The sequence below is a fragment of the Homo sapiens genome, chromosome 6, assembly GCF_000001405.40.
Source record: "Homo sapiens chromosome 6, GRCh38.p14 Primary Assembly".
Taxonomy (NCBI): Eukaryota; Metazoa; Chordata; class Mammalia; order Primates; family Hominidae; genus Homo; species Homo sapiens.
This window is the reverse complement of record NC_000006.12, coordinates 56,949,536-56,965,822: the sequence shown is the minus strand read 5'-3', so window position 1 is coordinate 56,965,822 and position 16,287 is coordinate 56,949,536. Positions and strand designations below refer to the sequence as shown.

The 16,287-nt window shown below is 40.8% G+C and overlaps 2 protein-coding genes across 12 annotated transcripts in view, besides 2 other annotated features; one reads left to right on the top strand and one right to left on the bottom strand.

The window, feature by feature from the left end:
* Positions 1–10,716, bottom strand: part of BEND6 (BEN domain containing 6) — a 72,240-nt gene extending 61,524 nt beyond the window's left edge. For 2 of the 8 annotated variants that reach the window (NM_152731.3, NM_001318539.2), the window contains exon 1: positions 10,363–10,716. The gene's annotated coding sequence lies outside the window, so the exon portion shown is untranslated. Of the gene's footprint in view, positions 1–1,666; positions 1,705–10,362 lie in introns of those variants that run through there. The other 6 variants (XM_017010406.2, XM_047418320.1, XM_047418321.1 and 3 more) reach the window with 6 other exon arrangements.
* Positions 10,528–11,217: a silencer, noted in NCBI's record as "silent region_17300". NCBI's record gives its function as "represses an Ori minimal core promoter by ATAC-STARR-seq in GM12878 lymphoblastoid cells {active_cell/tissue: GM12878}" and the evidence as "EXISTENCE:reporter gene assay evidence [ECO:0000049][PMID:35858748]".
* The window catches only part of DST (dystonin), a 496,835-nt gene continuing 491,540 nt past the window's right edge, over positions 10,993–16,287 (top strand). For 3 of the 4 annotated variants that reach the window (NM_001144769.5, NM_001374722.1, NM_001374736.1), the window contains exons 1-2: positions 10,993–11,416; positions 12,004–12,038. In NM_001144769.5, coding sequence (NP_001138241.1) covers positions 11,236–11,416; positions 12,004–12,038 — 216 coding nt within the window. In that variant the 5' untranslated portion in view covers positions 10,993–11,235. Of the gene's footprint in view, positions 11,417–12,003; positions 12,066–16,287 lie in introns of all 4 variants that reach the window. The other variant, NM_001374734.1, reaches the window with a different exon arrangement.
* Positions 11,379–12,010: an enhancer, noted in NCBI's record as "H3K27ac hESC enhancer chr6:56818611-56819242 (GRCh37/hg19 assembly coordinates)". NCBI's record gives its function as "activates a minimal SCP1, AML or CMV promoter by ChIP-STARR-seq in naive H9 embryonic stem cells {active_cell/tissue: H9 hESC(naive)}" and the evidence as "EXISTENCE:reporter gene assay evidence [ECO:0000049][PMID:30033119]".

The window sequence follows — 16,287 nt, the reverse complement described above, 5'->3', positions numbered from 1 at the left end:
ATGCATAAAAATCAGGAGTGATTCAACTCTCAAATATTAATCTAATCAATTATAATATGAAAAGATGAGATCATTTCTTTTTGAAATATCTATCCCATTATACACTATGTTAATATCGCATATATATATATATATATATATATATAAATTTTTTTGTGTGTGTGACAGGATCTCGCTTTGTCACAGAGACTGGAGTGCAGCGGCGCTATCAAGGCTTACTGCAGCCTTGAACTTCTAGGCTCAAGAGATCCTCTGATTTTATAATGCATTTTTCTCTCTCACTGAAAATCCTAGCTCCTAACAACATCAACATATCTATTTGCTAAATAATATTTCTAAACAGTTTTTTGACACAAGTCCTGGTGTTACAGGTATGAGCCACCATGCCTGGCCTAATATCATATATTAATGAAATAACTGGTTACCATTCACCATTATCTCCATTAACTTTGTAATTTTATACTATCAAAAGTTAAGGTCTAAATATAATTAATGTGCTGAGTCACATATTTTAGATAATTTACTTAATAAATCATCTTAAGTGGAGTTCCCGTCTTACCTGTTACCAATCATTTCTCTCCTTACTCTGATATTTTTTCTTACCACCTTGAAGCAACATTAAAATTTAAAAAAAACAAATGATCAGCTACATTACACATTTTATCAAGTTATTTCCCTATCCCTATGAAGGTCATTTAGAAAAATACATTTATTATATATTTATGAGTGAAAGTGCTATCAATAAACTCGTAATCAAAATGAAAAGGAATGTAAAAGGCCATCTTCTCTCAGTGTATTGGCATATTTGGGTGTGGTTAGCCATAGGGCAAGTCAGAACTAAGAAACCAGTTAAGGATGGAGAATGCAAGTGTTGATCAAAGAAGAAAGCTCAAGGAAATGGGATGAATCTCTTTAAGCCAGCTGAGGCCCAGGAAGCTATATTAAAGCAAGGATGGATAGATGGGTAGAGTGAGATCAAAGTATGCAACCTAACGTCGAGGTTCAGAAGTGTCAAAGACTGAGAAGAGGCCAGGTGAGGAGGCTCACACCTGTAATCCCAATACTTGGGAGACAGAGGTGGGAGGATTGCTTGAAGCCAAGAATTACCAGCCTGAGTAACATAATGAGACTTCGTCTACTAAAAATAAAATAAATTAGCCAGGTATGGTGGTGCCTGCTTGTAGTCTCAGCTACTTGGGAGGTTATGCCAGGAGGATTGCTTGAGCCTGGGAGATGGAGGCTATAGTAAGCTATGATCAGGCCACTGCACTCCAGCGTGGGCAACAGGGCAAGCCCCCATCTCAAAAAAAAAAAGACAAAAAGACAGAGGAACAGGGGACTTAGCAGGGATGGCATTTGGGGACAGTGTTGTCAGTCTTTGATTTTATGGTAGAGAAGTTGTTAGAACAGTCAGCAGGACACAGAACCTTGGGCAAATGTACATCCTGTTCACAGAAAGAGGGAAAGACTAAACTTGTCCTTCTATGAAAAGATAGAAAGCTTAGTGAGATACTCTTTTTTATTGGTAGAGGTACAGTTTTGCTATGTAGTTATTTCAAGATAGTCTTCCAGTCTGAAACCCTTACAAAGCAGGTCACATAAGTACTTACAATCATAGGCTTTAAAGCCAAACTGTCTGATTCATAATCCTAGCTCCAATACTTACTACCCATGTAATCTTTCTGTGCTTCTGTCTCTCCATCTGTGAAATGGGAATAATAAAATACCCCATTATGAGTTGATATGTCAGGTATATAATAATATAAATTAATTAATATTAATTATAATATTAATTGTAATAATATAATTACTACTATCTTATTTTATAACAATAATTATTTATATTATTAATTAACAATATAATTATATCAATATTATTACAAAAATATTTTATTTTATAACGAAGTATATTATTAATATTGTAATTATAACATTAATTTAATAGTAGTATTTTATTATACCACTACTAGTATTGTATTAGTTATATTATATTAATTTATTAATAGTAATAAATTATATTAATTTATTAATAGTAATATTTTATTATTAATTGAAGCAAACTGAACCAGATTACCCCCATACAAGTTTAGGTCAAACATGTGAGAGTAGGAGGGGAGTTTATAGCATTGAGGACAGGGGAGGGCTTCAATAAACATAGCTAATTAACCTTGATGCCTATGAGTCTATATTAGACAAACCTCAATCTTTTGTAAAAATATAAAGAAAAAATTATTATAGCTTTCTCTTTTATAAAGGACAGCCAGGTGGTCTCCCATGGAGCCGTTTTACCAAAGTAGGAGTCAGCTTGGCCCCGCTAAGCTTCTTCAGTTTTCTGGAGATGCTGGGTCAAATTTACCCAAGCGATAATGATGGAGACATGGCAATGAAATGGTAAGGGTGAAACTATAATTTTTTAATACAAAGAGTCTTGTGAAATTGCTGGATTAGTAGGTGTGGCCTAGGTAAATTCCTCACAGGCTAAAGGAGAGGACTGCATCTCTTGTGTACAAGGAAACATCTGACGTTCTGCTGGAGTGTCGGGTTGGCCTTCATTAATCTGGGTAGGGGTAGCCTAAGGAGAGTCAGAAGAGAGGAAGAGTAGCTGCTCAGCAAGCTCCAACTGAGAGGATTTCCTTTAGGGGAAGAGCTGCAGTGCAAATGAAGCAGGGAGGCAGTGCAAATGGAAAACATGCAACAGGAATGGTTTGTGTGGTTTGTGAAGTGCTGAAGAATTTTGATGCCGCTTGTTAGGTGTGTGGTCTTTAGGCAATTCCTTACATCTCTAAGCCCTGGAATTCCCATCCATAAAATAGGAATAAGAGTAGTACCTACTCAGGGCTGCTGTGAGGATTGAATGAGTAAATGCACGTAAAGCATTTAGCAGAGAGTAGATACTCAATAAGTGCTAGCTGTTGCTACAGATAACTAGGTGGTCCACATCAAGGTAGCCATTCAGTAATGAGGATGACCAGTGCATGTTATTCCATGCCTTCTGGGGAAGTGGCACAGGTGAATAATGATCATACCAATCAACTCCCAGGGTGCTGTTGGTGCCCCTTAATCTAGGCACTAAGACCTAGACTTTTAACAGCTCACCAGATGGCAAACCACCAGGAAGTCTGATACATTAACTACAATCCTGCAATATCTTCTCTAAGTAGATTCCTGCCTCATTACAAATGACCACAGACTGAAAGTGTGCAAAGAACAGTGCCCACTAGGCCCAGAGGGGGGTCTGAGGCACCCAGGAAATCATATTGATCCAAGGTCTGTTTCTGTGTGGAATGCATGAATGTTATGTCACCAAACCCTAGAGGATCAGAACAGAACTTGGAGCAAAAAGAACTAGCCACACTGAGAGATCGGGATACGTCAGGAAACTGGACTTGCCCACTGGAGTGAAACAGTCACATAATGAAATAACCAGCTTCATACTGTAACAATATGTGATCATGATGATGTGACATTGAGACCTAGTATCCTGGAAATATGGTGGTGGAGAGGGAGTTGAGGTCCACAAATATGGCAAGAGTGGTGTCTTGGTCTGTTTTGTGCTGTTAAAACAGAATACCACAGGCTTAGTAATTCATAATGAACAGAAATTTACTGGCTTGCAGTAATATCAAGGTGCTGGCATCTGGTGAGTGTCTTGCTGTCTTGCTGTGTCATCACATGGTGGAAGATGAAGATGAGAGAGAGAAAGAGAGAGAGGAGGCTGAACTAGCTCTTTTATAACAAATCCACTCCTAAAGTAACAGCATTAATCCATTCATGAGGGCAGAGCCCTCATGGTCTAATCACCTCTCAAAGGTCCCACCTGCCAATACTGTCACAACAATAATCTAATTTCTACATGAGTTTTTGCAGAAGTAAAAATTTAAACCATAGCATTCCACTCCTGGTGGGACGCTAGAAACAACGAGTAGGTGAAGCTGAACAGCTGGATGGGCAGTCTTCCCACCAGAGTGCAGAATCACCCTGGTGGGATTGAGGGCACCAATTACCAGGTCTGCAGACTCCACAGTAGACTGTTGAATGTGGGCTTGGGGAAGGATTTAGGAAGAGTGGTGGCTTTATTTACCAGAATGTCTGTGAGTTGTTTCTGGGAACCTAATACTAATTCCTTTTGTCCCTCTTTTAGGCCTTAAGACTATAGCAATTTTTGCAGACTGTGAACCCAAGACTACCTTTTAGGACTAGTCCTATTGGCTTGGAATGGGCTTATCCATTCAAACATCTAGCTATAAATTGGGTAGTTAATTGGCATGAAGGCAGCTTAGGAATCAATTTATCCCTTCTTTCCATAACAGAAGTCTATGGAAGTGGTCCTAGATTGTTAACACAGTCTTTTCTCCTCTTAGGGTTACAACTGACATCCCAGTGGGAGTTACCTTAGGTGACTCATTTGTCTCCCTCCCAATATGTTTAAAGATGCTAGAGGACAAATTAACTCCCAGCACATCATCTCCATTTAGTCTTTGGGTGGCAGCACTCACCTGCACTTGGGAGACTTATCTAAACTTTTATAGTTTAGAACAGAAAGTTTCCTTTGCTAACCATGGACGGATAGTCCCCAAGACACTTCTTACAGTCTCAGGGGTACCCAGGTGCTGCCATTGTTGATGGATCAAATGACTTATACGAGTTCAGAAGCCTCAGTACCTATGTGGATTTGCATGATTCTGATGATTCTCATTGTGGGAGTTGGGGGAGAGCTCATTAAGAATCTAATGAAAGGTATGGATCATGTCCTCAAAATGAGACACAAGTTTTTACATGTAATTTCAGGTCTCTAGAAACCTACTCATGAATTCCAGTTTGAACTTCTACAGTAGAGATAGGACTGGCAAGAACAGGCTTTAGGTTAATGGCTTTCTTCTTTGAAATATAAACTCTACTATATTCCAATTTGTGTGTTTGCTGTTTGTTGCCCTGTTTTACTCCATAAAGTATTTGTGGCTACAAAAACATTTTAAAGATGTACTTTTCTTTCTCTTCCTAGATTCATGGGATGTCCTTACATTGAGGTATCAATAATCTCTGGAACTATATATTATTAATACATCTTTTACTAATCATCAGTTGCTCATCACAATTTTCTGCTCTCCTTGGTACATTTAGTACTTCTGCTCTCCTAGTGACAATATTTTTTCAGGCTATGAGTGCATTGATGCATTAGCATACAACTCTATTAGCACAAAATATTTAATGCAAAAGTCCTAAATGACAAAGAATTATTGTAAGAAATAGGGGAACTCTAGCTATTCAATGTTGCTGTAGTTTTATTATCATCACAACCTAGAACTTAATTTGTAGATAATAACCAAAATTTTATTCATCTTGTAACATTTGCTATGCAATAATAAAGCTCCTACCTTACTTTTTTATCTTTTTACTTAAGAAGTGTAGAAGTTTCAGATGTAGAATGTTTATAACTTATATGGCAAATTTCATCTTGGATCTAGAAGGCAATATCTTCAGCTTTCAAACTTGCTTTGTAAATTGCCCATTCTTAGAAATGGTGGAAATATTTTATACCATCGGAATAATAATGAACGATATTGCTCAGCGATTTATAACTCTAAGAGCTTTATAATTTGATTTATGAACAGTTCTCAAATTTTCCATTGGCAGTTCATACAACTATGAGTAAATTTTCTGGCCAAATGACTCAGTATTTTGTGGCATGACTAATCCCACACTCAATGTGGAAACTATATAAATAAATTCTATTTGCTTGTGGATAATAAATGATTACTTTCCAAAAACTGTCTGCAAAGCATTATATAGTAGACGAATTCAATTATATTGATGTTTTTAAGCTCCCAAACTCAGCTGACTTTTTTGAAAAGTCTGTAATGCTCACACACCCAAAAAGAACTCCCCTCACATACTCCTGGAATTATCATGGCTTCGGCAGTGTGGTAACCCATAGAACAACAAAACCTAATTAGGCTCTACAATAGCTAAAATGTTAAAACAACAATCTGAAATAATTCCATTTGCAATATTTTCTCAGTAGTTTTAAGTTATTTTAAAAGTTTTTATTACGGTAAAATAAAGCCCTTTACCAGGGAATATTTGCTGAAAATAATATTTGATATTACTGCAAGTTACAATTATTTTCCTTTCAAAAACTCAAATATTAAAAAGAAAATAGTAATCTATCCACATGATGGTTTCCCTGGTTCTGGTGGCTGGAAATCACCTCCAAATTTATTTTAGATGAAGTAGGTTCTTCCAGATGATATAGCTCCTTTACCTTTTAATACAAGCACATGTAAAACACTTCACCTAGAAGCAAGGAAGTTACCAGGCCAAAATCAATATGCTTTATTTCTAATAATTTATTGCTAGAGCCATTCTTACCTAAGCTTCTTGTTTTCAAGGGGTAATATTTCAATGTAATGTCCTTGTGTGATTACCAACTGGGTAATTTACTCACTTCCAGATAAATTGGTAATAATCACAGACAACCTAGGCTACATTCCAAGACATTCCTTATCTTTCCCTAAAAGTCATTTTTCAAGTCTGAGTACTAGTAGCCAGATTAGATGGGGAAGAAACCATGGGCATGGAGCCATCCTAACTAGTCAGGCTCAATTTTCACTCTGCAGAGTCTAAAGCAACCTGAGACCAGAAAGAGCTAGTCTGTTGGGGGGACTCAAAATTGCTAAATCACAAATCCCCAGGAGAATGTCCTCTTCTCCCTTCTCTTTAATTATTTCTCTCCCTCTTCTGGCTCCATCTCCCAAATTCCCTAGAAACTTGTTCAAATATCCCTAGCCTGACAAAATAATCACCATTGGCCTTTATTCAGGATTTAATTGCTTTTCTACTCATCCCCTTTAGAGTTAAATTTCTGCAAAGATTGTAGACAACAACCCTCTCCTCTTTCTCATCTTCATTCCCCCCTCAACTCATTAATGTCTGGTTTTAGCCTCTCCTGCCATGATGAATCAGTTCTCTGAAAGGTTTCCGGAGGTCTCCTAGTCACCAGTCCTCAGTCCTTGCCCTCCTTAGACTCCCATTTGTGCATCTGTTCCAGAAAGCCACTAAATTGGAACACTCCCTACTTGGCTTCGACCACTTTGCTATCCTCCAGGCCAGAAATGGAAGCCGTCTCCAAAGTTCTGATTCTGGGATGCTCTTTAGCATCTATTCCTTAGTCATTTCCTCTATTTCCATTACTCCAACTACAATGTTGATGACTCCCTATCTGTTTTTGGTTCTGACCTCTCCACATTTCCATGGGCTTGCTGGATATTTTCACAATGATGTCCTTCTGAGGCTTCCATCTCAGTGGGTCTAAAATGCAGTTTGTTATCTTCTCCTTCCAAATTATTCCTCTACCCTAGCTCAAAACCTGAGTTATCTTCAGTTCCTCCCTTTTTCTCAACTGGTTGTTACACAGCTTAGGGTGGAAACTTTTCTTCTTTCTGATGTTTCTTCTTGATCCATACATTAGGAACTTGTGCCACAACTTTCTGCCTCTAAGAAAGTACTGAGGAAGATGTTTCTGCCGCCTTTTTAAAGCACCTTACTCACTGCTATCTTTTGGGAATGAAAAGACTTAGTGATGGAAAAACTCAGGAGGGCCTACTACCCATTAGTGGGCAGGAGTGATGTATAAAATTCCCTTCTCACACATGGGCCTGTCTCTTGCTCACACATGCTGAACGCCTTATGGATTATAAAGTGTCAGGCTTCCCTTTGCCTTTGGTGTTTATGCCGGAATTTGAACAGGTTGGGTTCCTTCCTGCCCTAATGCTGGGGAGGCCTGTCATTTTTCAGCTGTGGACTGGGTGAGCATGCCAAGTAAGAAAAAAGGAATAAGATGCCCCATTTTGGCTTTGAGGCTAAGCTGTGTTCTTCAATCTGACTTTATCTTGAATAGAGTTAACACAATATTTTAATTTCCTTATGGTTCCTTGTGTCTATTCCCAATTTGGTTGAGAATCTAAAGGGAAGAAGGGCTATATAATGGACCATCTTCTACATACGTGGTATCAAACTCTCTTAGCTATCTTTCCCAACTATTTTGTCTTCTTTTGGGTGACAATGATAACTTACTCTCATAAAAAAAGTCAACAAATTATACATACTTTTCCATTATGAATTTTCATTTTTTTGTATGAAAGATTTGGGCCATGGCTCTCCCCCTCCATCCCTATCCTCAAACTTAACAATTTTTTTTGTGTGTGACTTTTATACAATGTCAATTATTCTTTTTTTAAAGCAAAAACCTACCAGGAAGGCAAGGTATAATTTCTACTAAATTAACTTCCAAAAAGCACTGCTTGGCTGATTTAGTATTTATTGAATTCCGCAATGCATTAGGCACCACATAAACACACAGACAGAAGCAATTAATACTATGTATGCTGTTATTTGGAAAAAATGATAAATTAGCAACAAACAAATCAGAAAATAACAATGGAACTAAATACTAAATTCTTTCAAGGATTTGGTTTGTTTATTATTAGTATCTTTAAGACAACTGATGGAAAGAACAGAAATGAATGCATCTAAAAAGAAATATCTATAATCCTATTGCATGGCAGTTAAGCATTTGCCTGCCAAGAGAGATAAATGATGTTCTTGTGTGCACTTGAAACTTATAAATGGCTGCAGCAAGACGCAGGATGATAACAGTTGTGCTAAAGTCATAGCTCAGAAAACCATAATAGCTATTTAGTTGCTTTTTGTTGTTAAAAAAATATAGCGTTTGGGGCAATTTGAATACTATTCTGTGTGTCTTTGACATGTTTCTGTTCAAGGATACGTAGGCTATTTCAGCTCACTTACAAATTTCAGTCAATGAGAAGCATAAAGATGACCTTCCAAAATTCTGTTAGTTATTTCCCCCAATGTCTGCACACGGTTAGTTCAGTTTTGTTGTTTAAAATTACTCCACCATGCCATTGTTGAGTCAATGCGGTGGAGAATTCTTCCTTTCCTGATGTGCCACACATTGCAAACTCTCAGGATTTTCTTCAATAACCTCTGCATAATTGTTGAATAGTTTCTCACTGCAGTGGGCTGCGGTATCAAGAAACCTTTAGCCATATGCACATGATGTAGTGCTACCTGTCACCCACTCTGAGTGCTAGAGACCCATGAAGCCTATCCTGGAATTCAGTGCAGCCTACATGCTGCCATTCAAAATTCCCACCTTATGCAGTGTCTCCAAGCAAGGGCCCTTCTGAGTTCAATCCAAAACAACTGAATGAATGAGATGCAACATGTCAACAATTCGAATGTTTATTTTGTTTAAGGAAACCAGCTGTAAACAAAACGTATCTGTTGTTTTCCATGCTTATGAATCTGGCACTAAGAGACTGCATTAACCAATGCCTTTTTAGGTTTAATACTTACACACGGTAATATGTTACTGGCTTTAAGGACATCAATGATTAAGCTTTCATGCAGAGCTGTACGGTTTTGTATAGTTGGAAAACAACACTGATTTTGAGATCACTACAAGCAAATAAAACTTTTATTCCTCCCAATTATTTACCTGCTTTTCAAATTTTTATAAATTTTTATGACACAATTTCTTCAGTCTATTAAATATTCCAAAAAAGAGGCTAATACAGTTGTTATAAGAAACTCCGCAAATGCAGTCAAGTGTTACCTTGTCACTATAATTAAAGTTTTCTTATGCGAGTAAATGAAACAAACAATCCAGCCCCACACAGGGAAAGCCAGCATTGCCTTGGGGGCAGCAGAACGCGGCACAGCACCGCCCGCCAAGGCCGCAAGATGCCGCAGAATGACTGCTGCAGCAGCCGCTTCCTGGCCAGGTGGCCGTGGCCGTCCGCAGAAAGGCACACTGCAGCGCTCTCGCTATACCTTCCGTGCTGGCATTGCATCAGTGTTAAATCCCCTGGCCACCAACTGCCATATACTTTTTGCTGGTTATGAAGAAACGTGGGGAGGGGACAAAGGGGAGACAGAGTGTGCCTGCAAGTGTGAGAGATCACTATTGCCTCACACTCCCTAAAAAATTTCTCCCCCAAATGTTTATAAGCCAAGTACCAACTTACTTCATCTGCCAGGTCCCTAAATCTGAAATCGCCTTGCCCTTCAAATGCACTAAATGAGTCAGGGTTTTAGGGCAAACCCAGGGATACAAGAAGATCGAAAGTGCCCAATTCTTAGCTGCGAGATAAGCACCAAGTTTGGGGTGGAAGAGTTCACCTCTGCCGACCAGAGCGTACTACCCCGGAGCGCTCCTAGTTTAGAGAGGCTTGGAGAGGAGTGGGCCTCCCGTTCCTGGAGTATCCCAATTCCCAGGGAAGGCCCTTCCCGGCGCTCGCGCTTCAGAGTGCGAGGAAACCCCCACAAGCAATAGCTCACCCGGCTGCATTCTTCAAAGCCCCAACCTCGGGGCGGGGCGCAGGGAGGTGGGAGGTGGAGGGTAGCACCGCCGGGAGGCTCCTGTCAGCGCCTCTCGGTTTTCCCCCTGGCTCCTTGGCGCCCCCTGACGACGGGCTCCGCAGCAATTTGGCCGAGGGAGGCTGGATAGGCGGAAGCTCCGGGTGTCCGGGAAGCTAGAGGCACCCGGCCAATGCACCCGCGGACGGCGCGGACTGGCGGGCGGCCCCGCGGGAGGGCGCTGGGCTCTCAGGCCCGGGTGCAGCCCGCGGACGCCGCCGAAACCGCCGCAGCCATGTCCGCGCGCCCGCGCTGCCGCAGCCTGGCCGTGATGTCATCAGCCGAGCCCCCGCCGCGGCGCCCCATTCCCGCCCCCCGCAGGCTGCCGCGGCTGCAGCCTGAGCGCCGCGTCCCCGCCCCGACCCACGTGCGCCCGGCTTCTGGGATGCTGAGGTCGGCGGCGGCCGCAGGACGATGCGCGGGGCCCGGGCGGCCGCGGCGGCGGCGCTGCTCCTCCCCACTCGCCGCGTCCCCGGCGGGGCTGCGCCCGGGGGCTGCGCACGGACGGGGGCGGGGGCGCCTGGGGAGGGAGGGGAGAGGATCCCAGCCGCCGAGTCGCAGCCTCGTCGCTGTCTGCTGAGTCATGGCAAGCGCTCCCCGCAGCCCTGGATCACTCGCGTAGCGCGGCTGGCGCGGGGTGCGCAGCCATTGGGCTGGGCGCGGGGCCGCGAGCGCCAGGCATGACGCGCTGAGCCGCGCTCACCCGTGCCCGCCGTCCCGGCGTGCGCCCAGCGCGGGTGCCTGTGCCGCCGCCCTCCAGCCCCGCCGTCGAGTCGCCCTCGCCTCGCCCGCACCATGATCGCCGCGGCTTTCCTCGTCTTGCTGAGACCCTACAGCATCCAATGTGCCCTCTTCCTCTTGTTGCTTCTGCTGGGCACCATCGCCACCATCGTCTTCTTCTGCTGCTGGCACCGCAAGCTCCAGAAAGGGAGGCATCCGATGAAATCGGTCTTCTCGGGTCGTTCAAGAAGCCGAGGTAAGACACGCCGCGACGGGTTTCTGCGGGCTACCAGGAACAATTAAGCCGATTTGGAGAGTGAAGCGCGGCTCGCTCCCTTCTCCTCGGCTGCCCCTAGCCCCATCATTGCCCACTCCCCAGGCTGAGTGCGTTTCTTTAACGCCCCTTGCCCTTTTTGCCGTCACCTCCGCCCTCCAGTCTCCCAGGTTTGAATAACCACGGCGATGCCGAGGGCAGGGAGGGGAGGAAAGAACTCAAATTTTTAGTCAGTTTGCTAAAGCCTTAAGGGTAATTTGAGCGTAGTCCGGGGCTGCGCCAGCCTCGCCTTCACGCATCCTTCGCTGGAGCGTAGGGGTAAGAAAGTAAGGCATGGAAACTTCGGGGCTCCCCAACTCCCCCAGAACTTTCATGCAAACTTCTCGCGGAGAAATCACGTAGAGACCGATGGCCCCAGGACTCCTCCTCCCTCCCCCAGGATGTCCCACCGAATTCCAGGAGTCTGCGATGTGCTTTCCCAACCCTGGTCTCCCAGGTAAGTCATGAGTCACTCGGTAGGTGAAGAACAAGGAGTTAAATGAAGTCTCATTTATCTCTTTTCTCCCCAGATGCTGTTTTGAGATCGCACCACTTTCGTTCTGAGGTAATTTATTTAGCGCGCACGCTCAAGGTCAGAAGAAGTTCTCTTTCCTGAGTACCAATATTAATTATATGCGTGTTAAGAAACCAGTAGGACACTGAATGACGAACATGCTGTCCCCTAGCCGAAAGTGGCATGTTTCCTTTTAAGTGATTTCATATTAGTGCCCAGCGAACGGTTTTAGCAAATTTCTTGTGTAGTGGAGCTGTTGTACAAGAGGGGAAAAGGCAAACCCTAAAAGTGCTGCAGACCTTAAAAAACTTAGCCACAGGGTGGATGTCACTTGAGTTTACAGTTTATATTTTGCTGGTGGAAGTGTTTTCTGGGTGCTGTCAGTTGACTCTGGTTGTTCACTTGGATAAACGAAGAGGTTAGTGCAGAACAATTTGATCCATATGCATTTCATTTTCGATTTTCAAGTTTACATTTCTGTTTTCTCCTAAAGCTCTCCATGTTTTATTGGGGACCATCTGATGATTTTTGCAAAGCGATGATGGTAGTGTGTGCTTAAATGCTTGTGCTAGTCTCCACTCTCAAAACGTGGACCATCCCTCTAGGGCAAGTAACTCCTAATCACTGCACCCAGGAACCAGCTCCACTGAAGAAACACAAGCGCTCCTTGACCTAGGATTTCTTTAGGAGTTTTCAGGCCAACCTCCACTTATCCTAAGATAATTTCCCCTCTTTTTAGGAAAGTTGCACGCCGCCAGGCTTGGAGGTTGCTGCTTGGTGCAGTTTACTCATGTTGGCAAAGACTTCATAGTTAAACGCCCTCCATTTACCTGAAGTTATCTTGCCTTTCATTTCATTAGTTAATCAGATATTTTATGCCACCCTAGATGTTTTATTGGGTTCTAGTTGCTTAAAAACTTTAACTGTATTATTGCAATATCATTAAAATGTTGCACAAAGAGTAATTCTACTGTATATAGCCCTGGAAGGTGAGAACTCTATTCAGTTTAGGATTCTTGAGAGGATAAGTGAGGTAATCAGAGGTTCCATTCCTGGCTTTACATTAACTAGCTGTGTGATACATCTCGGTGCCTCGATTTACCCATCTGTAAGATAGGGCCATTAGTACCTTGCAGGGTTATGGGAGGGTGGAGGAAATTACAAGAAATTGTGTAAAGAAAAATCCCACTTAGTTCATAATAAGTATTCAGTATTTGGTAGCTATCATTATATTTTGTAAAATTGAATTTTAAAATGTATAAAAATAAACGATAATGTTTGCAAATTTCCAAGTCTTTATTAAATTACTTAATTAAAGTTTATGGAAAACATCAAAAACCGGGACTATCGTAAAGCAACAATTTTTGAATATGAGATTAATTCAATAGAACAGCCCATTCAGATGTGATGAGAAGTAAATAATTGACAGAGTGCAAACACCAAAATATAAGATTTTGATTTTAAAAAGAGATACCCAGTTCCACACACATAAATGATAGAACAAGAATAATAATCCTGTTTTGGATTATTATACTAGCCATCAGATATTTCAGCTAAAGCACAAACAAAAAATGAGATACAACTATGTCTTGTTTAATTATCTCTCAGTTGAATATTTTTGTTCTGAGCTTGCATTTGGTTAGGAAAGCTGGGGGTAGTTGTTTAATGCCTTAACTCACTTCATAAGATTCCTGGTACAGTTTGACATCTTTGTGTGGTATTTGCCTTGTCTACTAGACTGTGAGCTCCTTGAGGGCAGGACCATATCTTTCTTGTTTAGGGCTGTATCCCCACTATTTGGCTCAGTGCCTTGTATACAGTGGGTTATTAATAAATATTTATTGAATGAATGAATGAAAAAAAAAATCTCCTAGTGGGTGCTAGTTCCTGAAACTGGGCAAATAGAACTCAGAGTTGGGCAGAAAAGAAAAATGCACATTCTCAGGACATCGCTCAGAATTCAACATTTGCTAAATCTCAACTCTTACTGGATCTTTGCAGGCTTTTAAAAATTGCCCTGGAGTTTGTGCTAAAAATGTAAGTCACAAATTGAAACAAAATGGATTCGGTTTGAATTTTTTTCTGAAAAATTTAAATGCAATATTAGTTTAATTTGTTGATGGGCTACCCATCAGCAAGCTGTTTTGATAAACCACTCAAAGAATGCCATTTATAAGTGAAAATTATGGGACTGTGTTGCAAAAGAATGTCATGTTTCATCACTACTTTGCTTACATAAATGAAATATTTTCCCTTAAGGAAAACATAGGGAATATTTTTCTTTTCTCTTTTCTATCAAGATGCCATTTTCTGCAAGATTTTCTCTTTGAGAAATACCTCTGAATTTACTTGGTTTTAAACATATTTTAAAAAATAGAATTTGTGTAGCATAATGAATATTCTTGTTGCTTTTTAGTAGTAGCTGCTGCAAAATAATTATTCAAGAAAATATTTTGATTTCTGACAAATCATAGTCATATTGAACTAAGAATTTAGTACTTTCTGTTTCTCCTTCCATTCTCAGTAAGTAGATTAACTCACTTTCAGCATTTCTACCATGGTCAAAGGAGGAAAATGAGTTTAGGATCTGCTGACTCACTTTGAACCATGAAAAAGCTTTGGGCTAGCCCTTGTACAGATGAAGAAGTTCAGTGAGTACTTTGATGCTCTACTTGGCAGAATGTATTGCTTCTGGTACCCACACGCCCAGGAAGGAGTCCAATTGCACAGGAAGTTTTAGCCGGTTCCTTTTCAGGTAGTCAGAGAAATACTCCTAGAGAAAAAATCATCGCACCAGGACTCAGTTTGCTTTGGGAAAGTTCTGCAGTAGGGAAAAAAGCCACCTTCCTCATCTGAGGAGCTCCAGCTATTTTCTCCTCACTAAGTATATAATAAACACATTTTTTCAGTTTCTTCCTCATGAAGCTAGAAATAAGTAATATAGATGTTTATAATAAGTTTTGGAACCATAACTGCCAACCCTTTTTATTTTCACATACTTGCAAACTTTACTAGCTTTTTAGTAGTCTTCTAAATGTTCATAAATAGCATATGAGAATGTGAAATAATTAATGCAGCTAGCAAGGCCTGAACAGTGTAACTTCATTTCAGTAATAGACAGAAATATGTGTTTTATGTATGCATATTAAACACTTACACAGTGTTTTTGTTCTTGTTATGCTAAACAGCTAATGAAGAGAAGTGATTTCACATTGATGTAGCAAGACAGTCTAGAAACCAAGCGTTCATTCTGGTTTCTAGAATCCTGTTATCTAAGAAGTGTACTTTTCCTGAGGATTTATAATGCTTTATGCTGTGACTTTAAATAATGGTAAACTGTTACCCTAGATTCCTGTGGTGAAAGTCAGGCTGTGACAATCCTGATTTTAAGGAAATTTCAGAAAGTGATATGGGTAATTGAGGTACCATTAGATTATAAGAAAGGGTCTTGGGAGTACTTCAGTAGAATGGAGACTATTATAATGCCCTTTGAGAATATCCAGAGTGAATAGTGGTAAATAATCCCTATTCATGAGCTCAGTGGAATAAGGGAAGCCTTGTCTGACATAAGGAAGGAGAAGAGTGTGTTCTATATCTACCAATTTTTGAGTAAATATCTCTATTTCCTGTTTCAGGCAAAGGAACCAAAAGAGTTAAGCAGTTCCCAAAGACTCACATAACAAGATAAGGACTGAGTAACACAAGAATTATCTGGCTACGTATTGTCTGTCCTCTGGTGTTGAATTGTGTCACTCACAGCCCAGAGAATAATATGCCCAAAATTTTCACTGAAAGAAATTGAGTTTTTAGTTGACATTTCTTATAATACTGAACTGGCAAATCCTTTAGTTTTTTTCCAGTGATTATGTAAGTTATCCTAAATGAAACAATGGTCCACCTAAGCCCTGTTGTCCTCATTATGTTCCTCAAGTGTCCCTGTACCAAATCATTGGAGAATGGCCAGCAAAATAACCACATTTCACAGCATCTCATTAAATTTTCATCTTTCATTAAGAATTACCTAATTTAGTGGATTAGGGAAAGTGATAGTTTATTATTGAGAAATCCTTTATAATTAGGTTATCTTTATAAATAAATAATTTGTCTAGAGTTACGTTTTAGGTCTAAATTAATTTACACTAATTAAATCAGCCATAAGTTGTAAGTGTGCACATGATGTAGTATTCACTGAGTGTCACCCAATTATTTTTCAAATAAACACATTTATTTTCTCTTTCTGTCCAAAGTACTGTGTTAGACAATAGGGCTAACAAAGGGTTAGAGATGGAGCCCCTGCCCT